At 42.0% G+C, this 8,957-nt stretch overlaps 2 annotated features.

The window, feature by feature from the left end:
- Nucleotides 4,536-5,286: an enhancer, noted in NCBI's record as "CNE8 PCR-amplified transgene fragment". NCBI's record gives its function as "enhancer in day 2 and day 3 zebrafish embryo skin, fin, central nervous system, muscle and heart" and the evidence as "EXISTENCE:transgenic organism evidence [ECO:0001131][PMID:21731768]".
- Nucleotides 4,731-5,037: a conserved region, noted in NCBI's record as "conserved region; CRCNE00011103 more deeply conserved sub-region". NCBI's record gives the evidence for it as "EXISTENCE:sequence alignment evidence [ECO:0000200][PMID:21731768]".

Here is an 8,957-nt window from a genome sequence, read left to right on the forward strand (position 1 = left end):
CTCCCGAGTATCTGGGATCACAGGCGTCCACCCCCACGGCCAACTAATTTCTGTGTTTTTAGTAGAGACGGGGTTTCACCATGTTGGCCAGGCTGGTCTCGAACTCTTGACCCCAAGTGATCCACCCGCCTCGGCCTCCCAAAGCACCGGGATGACACATATTAGCATGACGTATATTCTTCTGTTCCTCCGGGGACTCACTGTCTTCTTGGGCCAGTGAACCACCGTGCCCTGCCTTCTCTGTCCACATCTACACACGTGTAAATCTCTGTAGATTCTGAATTGTTTTTCCTTTTGCACAGAATGAGAGGAACTGAAGTCGGGAGGCCCAGCCCCAACATGGTCCCTCTGGCTCTGTGCTCAGGCGGTTTATGGCTGAGAAGGACTTGGGGGTTGAGGGCTTCCTATCAGCCCAGGAGACATTCCCCGGGCCTGGGGAAGCCTGCTCTGCACTTGTGGGTCTCGAATTGTCTGTTGCATTTACCTGCCTTATTATTTTTTCTTCCTGTCTCTCTTCTTACATATTTCTCTCGAATTTGGGGCTTGTTTTTCTTAACTACAATCAACGTGAATCATTATTGCATTATATAAATATAAATTTTATATTGAATAGACATTATATGCTCAATCTAGTACACATTCCAACACAGGCCATATCTAAGAGGCATATTTATATTTAATGTACAAAACATGTTTACATTTCGTATGGAAAATATACATTTATATTTAACATATATGTGTATATTTAATACAGGGAATATATATTTATATTTAATATAGAAAATGTATATTATATTTGACATATAAAAATATATGTTTATATTTAATATGGGAAATATATGTTTATGTTTAATATACAAAATACATGTTGATATTTAAAATAGAAAATGTATAGTTATATTTGCTATGCAAAATACATGTTTATATTTAATATAGAAAATATGTTTATATTTAACGTAGAGAATATATATTTATATTTAATATGGAAAATATATATTTATATTTAACATATATAGTATTTATATTTAATGTATAAAATATGTTTACATTTAATGTGCGGAATATATGCTTATATTTAATGTCTAAAATACATGTTTATATTTAATGTATTGTAAACATTAAATGTACCAAACGTATTCTTATATTTAATGTATAAAAGATGTTTATATTTAATATATAAGATATGTTTACATTTAATGGATAAAATGTTTATGTTTGATGTATAAAAGATGTTTATATTTAATGTATACAATGTTTATATTTAATGTACCAAATATATTATTATATTTAATGTCCAAAATATATTTATATATAATATATAAGGTATGTTTATATTTTATATGAAAGATATGTTTACATTTAACGTATAAAATGTTTATGTTTAATGTATACAACATGTTTATATTAAATGTATACGATGTTTTTATTTAATGTACCAAATGTATTATATTTAATGTATAAAAGACGTTTATATTTAACATATAAGTTTATATATACTTTATATATTATATATTATATATACCTTATATATTGTATAATATATAAAATATATAAAAATAAGTTATATTTAATATATAAGATATGTTTATATTTAATGTATATGTTTATGTTTAATATATAAAAGATGTTTATATTTAATGTATAAAAACATGTTTAATGTATAAATTATATTTATATTTAATGTATATTTTTATATTTAATGAATACATATATTTGTATTAATATATGAAATGTATATTCATACTTAGTATGTAAATATACACTCATATTTAATAGACAAAATGTATATCTGTATTTAGTATATAAAATGTATATTTGAGTTTAATAGATAAATGCATGTTCATATTAATATGTAAATATATGTCCATGTTTATAAAAATATATATATTTACATGCTTCTTGTCTCCTTTTCTAGATCAAGATCTTACAGTAATAGCAAAAAAAAATAAAATCCGTTTATTTTGTAACAAAACACCTTGGGCTTCCCACAGCCTGGACCAACATGATTTTATTTTAGAGCAAAGAGTGAGGTGTAAGCAGGTTTTCTGGCCCCATCGGGCGACATGTGTGGCTGGGGCAGCGCTGTGTAGGGAAGGACACAGCCAGTGGACCCTCTAGAGTTTCCCTGCATGGGGTTTCTCTCTCTTCCTCTTACAAGAAACACTTTCTGAATTTTTAGGACACCCAGTCATGAATGCAAGAAACCTGAGATGGAGTCAGCCTGGGAACAGCCGAGCTCTGAGACGGTCACATCAAGCTGTTCCCACCGTAAAACTCACTCCTGACGTCCACCTCTCCTGGGATGAAAGTGGCCAGCAGCCTCGGCCTGGCCTAGGACTCCAGAGCCCCGGGTAGTGGTGGCTGGGGTGACTGACAGGGCCTGTCTGCTCCAGCTGCCTCCCTGTCCCTGAGTCTGTCCAGCCAAGGGTCACCCTGCAATGCAGGACCTCAGTGATTCTGCACATAGGGGTCACTTTGCTCACATTCTCAAAGATAAAAATGAACCCAGTTTCAAAATCAAAAACAAAAACCAGTTGTCTGTGTAATACTCTTGCAGCAGAGCTGGTGCCCTTTCCTGCGTCTATAATTTGTAGCCTTAAGGTTGTAAAAGTCTACACTGGAAGCAAACACAAGCTCCTTCTGAACACCACCAAGAGCTCCCCTCTGGAAGCCTGGCCTCCAAAACGCCGTCTGCTTCCTCTTTTTTCTTTTTTTTGGAGAGAGTTTCAGTATTTTAAGGATCTCATTTGCTTTTGGGGAATTGCTTCCTGAGAATAAGCGCCTCCCACCCCACCCAACTACCCATCTCTGAACCATTTATTCGTTTCTCTGTCTGAGCAACCAAAGCTTTCCTAAGCTGTTGAGGGCTTAACTTTTTTTTTTTCTTTTTCTTTCTCTTTCTTTCTTTCTTTCTTTCTTTCTTTCTTTCTTTCTTTCTTTCTTTCTTTCTTTCTTCTTTCTTTCTTCTTTCTTTCCTTTCTTTCTTTCTTCTTTCCTTTCTTTCTTTTCTCTTTCTTTCTTTCCTTTCTTTTCCTTCCTTCCCTTCTTTCTTTTTTCCTTCCTTCCTTCCTTTCTTTCCTTCTTTCTTTCTTCCTTCTGTCCTCCCTTCCTCTTTCTTTCTTTTTTCTTTCCTTCTTTCCTCTTTCTTTCTTTTCTTTTCTTTTCTTTCTTTCCTTCTTCCTTCCTTCCTCTTTCTTTCTCCTTCCTTCCTCTTTCTTTGTTTCCTTCCTTCCTTCTTTCCTTCCTCTCTCTTCTCTTTTCTTTCTTTCTTTCTTTCTTTTTCTTTCTCTCTCTCTCTTCTTTCTTTCTCTGGTTTTTTTTTGACAGATTCTGGCTCTGTTGCCCAGACTGGAGTGCAGTGGCACAATCTTGGCTCACTGCAACCTCCGCCTCCGAGGTGCAAGCAATTCCCCTGTCTCAGCCTCCCAAATAGCCATGATTACAGGCACACACCACCACGCCTGGATAATTTTGTATTTTTAGTAGAGACGGGGTTTCACCATGTTGGCCAGGCCGGTCTCGAACTCCGGACCTCAGGTGATCCGCCCGCCTCGGCCTCCCAAAGTGCTGGGATGACAGGCATGAGCCACCGCACCTGCCCTGTTTGTTTTTTAATTGATACCAGGTTGCTTGTACCTGAAGTCACTCCGGTTTAGTAGAACACGGGGTGTCATCGGTAGAACTTTGTCCATAGTGTTTGCCAATTCCATCCTCAGAATCTGGCAGAACGCGTTTAAGGGGCCCAGACGAGAATCGCTTCACAGTTACGAATGGTGTAGAAATGAATGAGCAAGGCCAGGTGCAGAGGCAGCTCATGCCTGTGATCCCAGCGCTTGGGGAGGCTGAAGCAGGTGGATCATTTGAGGTCCGGAGTTCGAGACCAGCCTGGCCAACATGGTGAAACCCCGTCTCTGCTAAAAGTACAAAAATCAGCTGGGTGTGGTGGCTCAGACCTGTAGTCCCAGCTATTTGGGAGGCTGAGGCAGGAGAATCGCTTGAACCTGGGAGGCGGAGGTTGCAGTGAGCCCAGATCGCACCACTGCACTGCAGCCTGGGCGACTGACCCAGACTGTGTCTGAAGGAAAGGAAGAAAGAAAGAAAGAAAGAAAGAAAGAAAGAAAGAAAGAAAGAAAGAAAGAAAGAAAGAAAGAAAGAAAGAAAGAAAGAAAGAAAGAAAGAAAGAAGCAAATGTACACTGCTGAGGAATCTCCTTTTCCTGTGGCCGGGGCAAGATTCTTTGCATTTTTCTCTGCAGGGTAAAAACAAAACCACACACACACACACACACACACACACACACACGCACACAGCAATAAGCTTTCATCCAGCCGGCACAAGACAGTTTCCTGGAGAGTCTGTACACAGTGATTGTGCTGGGGGCTCATTTGCATATTGGTTTAAAGTACCCTGCAAACGGGCATTTGCAGAGGGGCACGGGAGAGGCTACCGGCGAATTAAGAGCTGCAGAGACGAGGGTCTGTGGCCATCACCTTTGCAGCTGCAGGAGAGAGGAGGTGATTAGGGAAGCTCCGTGTTCCCCTCTGAGCCTGGCAGGTGCGTTGTCCCCACCCTGCCCCCAGCACCGCACAGTCCATTGCAATGCAGGCCCTGCTTTTGGGTTTAGCAAAGGTAACTTCCCCTGGCACCCCCAGGCTTCTGCTTCCAGCACAGCGACTGCGACGTTGTGTTTGCACCTCGGTCCTCATACAGAATTCACCCACCTTGCACTCAATCTTCCTCTCCCGGCGGTACCATTAATATTTTAATTTCATCAGAATTTCTGGAACTGGCTTGCCATCCTGAGCAACCTAGTTACCTGTCAGCCCCTATCAGCTTGTCATATTAGAGGGGATTGTCCTAGGAACCTAATCTGCTTTAAATGATTTTCGTGGGGTGTTGGTCTATAAATCATCTCGAGGCAGGCCTGACAACGCGAAGGTTTTGGTGAATAAACAAACCACACTTGTTTTATTTTCGGCAGGCACAGACTTTGCTTTATCAACTTCTTATTGATTTCCGTGCTCCAAGAGGTCAAAAAAATGTTTTTGCTTCTCCTTTACATACAAAAACATTATTCATAGCAGAGCTGTGGGCAGAGGCAACTCTCATTAAGATAAGTTCCAAGATTCGCAGGCGAGGTGGCTGGTGGGAGAAACGACACACACCTGTTTCAGCCAAGCCCTTGGTGGAGTTTGGAGTTTCCAAAACGTTGACTCTTCCTCTTTCTGGTCAAAATAGAAATTATATGGATATTAAGGAGCCCCAAGTCTCTGCAGGGATATGGAGGAACCCTGGACATACAAATACACACACACACACACACACACACACACACACACACACGGGCACCCACACTCACCACCCCATGCCAAGAAGATACACAGAAAACTCACTCACCTTTCACTCAAGTTTGCAAATTTGGAACTGACTTAATGAAGGAAAGAAAAGTTGCAGCTACAAAGTAACACAGAGCCAATGAAAAGACAAAAACCGCCATTAGATTTTCTTCTTTTCTACAGTTTTATTTTATGTTTAACAATTATCGTTTGGATCAGGCGCAGTGGCTCACGCTCGTAATCCCGGCGCTTTGGGAGGCTGAGGTGTGAGAATCAGAAGGCCAGAAGTTCAAGGCCAGCCTGGGCAACATAGCAAGACCCCATCTCCAAAAAAAAAAAAATACAAAAATTAGCTGGACCTACTGGTGCAGACCTGTATTTCCAGCTACTGGGGAGGCTGAGGTGGAAGGATCGTTTGAGTCCAGGAGGTAGAGGCTGCACTGAGCCGTGATTGCACCACTGCACTCCAGCTTAGGCAACAGAGCAAGACCCTGTCTCAAGAAAAAATCTCCATAATGATTGTACACATTTATGACATATAATATAATGTTTCCAAGCATGTGTATATCATGTAATGACAACTCACAGTAATTATGAGATCCAGCTGCTCAGAAATCTCATTTTCCGGTGGCTGAGGAATATGTATCTTTTTTTTTTTTTGAGACGGAGTTTCGCTCTTGTCACCCAGGCTGGAGTGCAATGGCATGATCTCGGCTCACTGCAACCTCCACCTCCCAGATTCAAGCAATTCTCCTGCCTCAGCCTTCCGAGTAGCTGGGATTACAGGCATGAGCCACCACGCCTGGCTAATTTTGTATTTTCAGTAGACACAGGGTTTCATCATGCTGGTCACGCTGGTCTTGAACTCCTGACTTCAGGTGATCCACCCGCCTCAGCCTCCCAAAGTGCTGGTATTACAGGCATGAGCCACCATGCCCTGCAATATGTATCTTCCCCTTTTCCATAAGTTATTGGAGTACAGGTGGTATTTGGTGACATGAGGAAGTTATTCAATGGAGATTTCTGAGAACGTGGTGCGCCCAACACCCGAGCAGTATACATTGTATCAAATTTGTTGTCTTTTATCCCTCGTCCCCTTCCCACACTTCCCACCAACAAAATCCTCTCTTTGGACTATTTTGTAATATACAATATATTCTTGTTAAGTATTGTCACCCTGCAGAGAATTAAAACAACAGAATTTAGTCCTATTTAGTCGTAACTTTGTACACATGGACCAACCTCTCTCCATCCCTTCTTTCTCTCTCCCTTCCCCAGCTTATGGTAATCACCACTGTGCTGTCTATTCCTAGGAGATCAACTCTTTTTTTATATAATTTATTTTTTGAGACAGAGTTTTGCTCTTGTCACCCAGGCTGGAGTGCAATAGCATGATCTTGGCTCACTGCAACCTCCGCCTCCCGGGTTCAAGCGATTCTCCTGCCTCAGCCTCCCCAGTAGCTGGGATTACAGGCATGTGCCACCACACCTGGCTACTTTTTGTATTTTTAGTAGAGACGGAGTTTCTCCGTATTGGTCAGGCTGGTCTTGAACTCCTGACCTCAGGTGATCTGCCCGCCTCAGCCTCCCAAAGTGCTGAGATGACAGGTGTGAGCCACCGTGCCCGGCCAGGAGATCAACTCTTTTAGCTTCCACATGGGAGTGAGAACTGGCTGCATTTGTCTTATTTCACTTCTGGGTATGCATCCGCAGAAAATAAAACCAGTATATCAAAAAAAAAAGGGGGGAGGTCTGCACCCCCATGTTCATTGCAAGGCTATTCACGAGAGCCAACATGTAGAATTAACCTAAGTATCAGTGGGGGATGGATAAAGAAAATGTGATACACACACACCATGGAATACTATTCAGCCATCAAAAAGGAAGAAGTCTCACCACTTTGCAACAACTTAACGTTAAGGGAAATGAGCCAGCACGAGGTTTTCTTTGGTGTTTGAACTCAAAGCAGGATGGTTGTTGTGCGCATAACATGATTGCTTTCCTTAGTCCTGAAAAGAGACAAATTTCTTTTTCCTTTTTTTGAGATGGAGCCTCGCTCTGTCACCCAAGCTGGAGTGCAGTGGCGTGATCTCAGCTCACGGCAACGTCTGCCTCCCGGGTTCAAGCGATTCTCCTGCCTCAGCCTCCCAAGTAGCTGGGGTTACAGGTGCCCGCCACCATGACCCGCTAATTTTTGTACTTTTAGTAGAGATGGGATTTCACCATGTTAGTCAGGCTGGTCTCGAACTCCTGACCTCAAGTGATCCGCCCGCCTCGGCCTCCCAAAGTGCTGGGATTACAGGCGTGAGCCACTGCGCCCAGCCCCAAAATACTTGCAAATACCGAAACAGGACAATACCAGTGCAGTGATGTATGATGATTTGATTCTGGAATTGCTGTTTTGAACGTGTAAGAGTCATAAATAGAAGAGGGAGATGACAAGAGGAACCGAGGACTGTGTTTATTTGTTTATTTTTTGAGACAGAGTTTCGCTGTTGTTGCCCAGGCTGGAGTGCAGTGGTGCGATCTTGGCTCACTGCAACCTCCGCCTCCTGGGTTCAAGCGATCCTCCTGCCTCAGCCTCCCGAGTAGCTGGGATGACAGGTGCACGCCACCACGCCCGGCTAATTTTTGTGTTTTTAGTAGAGACAGGGTTTCATCATGTTGGTCAGGCTGGTCTCGAACTCCTGACCTCAACTGATCTGCCCGCCTTGGTCTCCCAAAGTGTTGGGATTTCAGGTGTGAGCCACTGCGCCCTGCCAGGGGTGTATTTTTTTAATACAAAATGAGTGTACCAAATATTCAATTACCATACCCACGCTGTGACTGACTGTTGTCCAAAGGACCAGGTGCTCAGCCCGATGACCTATGCTGAACTTTCTCTAAAAAATCTTACTCCCAATTTCACATCAGTGTGATTTTTCACTCTTGACAGTAAAATGAAACAGCGTTGTTGACCTAAAATTCCAACCATAGGATCATTGACGTGTTAAAGATATTTTATAGTAAAAGTAATTCCTAGGTTCTGTGATCGTGTAAAAATGGCTTTCTCTCTCTCTCTCCCTCTTTATACTCTCTTCTTTCTTTTCTTTCTCCTTCCTCTTTCTCTTTCATTCATTCTTTTTCTTTCTGTCTCTTTCTTCCTTTCTTCCCTCCCTACTTTCTTTCCCTCCCTACCTCTCCCTTCCTTCTTTCTTTCCTTCTTTCTTTCCTTCTTTCCTTCCTTCCCTCCCTCCTTCCTTCCCTCCTTCCTTCCATCTTTCCTCATTTTCCTCTCCTCCCTCCCTCCCTCCCTTCCTTCCTTCCTCCTTTCTCCATTCCCTCTCTCTCTCCCTTCCTTTCTTTCCTTCCTTCCTTTCTATCTTCCTCCTTTCTTTTTTGTTCCTTTCTCTGTCTTCTTCTCCTCTCTTTCTTCCTTTCTCTTTCTCTCTTCTTTTTTCTTTTTCTATCCCTCCCTCCCTCCTTTCCTTCCTTCCTTCCCTTCCTTTCTCTTCCTTCTTTCTTTCTTTCCTCTTTCTTTCTTTTCCTTTCTTCTCTTTCTTTCTTTCCTTCTTTCTTCTTTTCCTTCCTTTCTTCCTTCCTTCCTCTGTCCCTCCCTCCTTTTCTTCCTTTCTTTCTCTC

This window comes from Homo sapiens, chromosome X (assembly GCF_000001405.40).
Source record: "Homo sapiens chromosome X, GRCh38.p14 Primary Assembly".
Classification (NCBI taxonomy): Eukaryota; Metazoa; Chordata; class Mammalia; order Primates; family Hominidae; genus Homo; species Homo sapiens.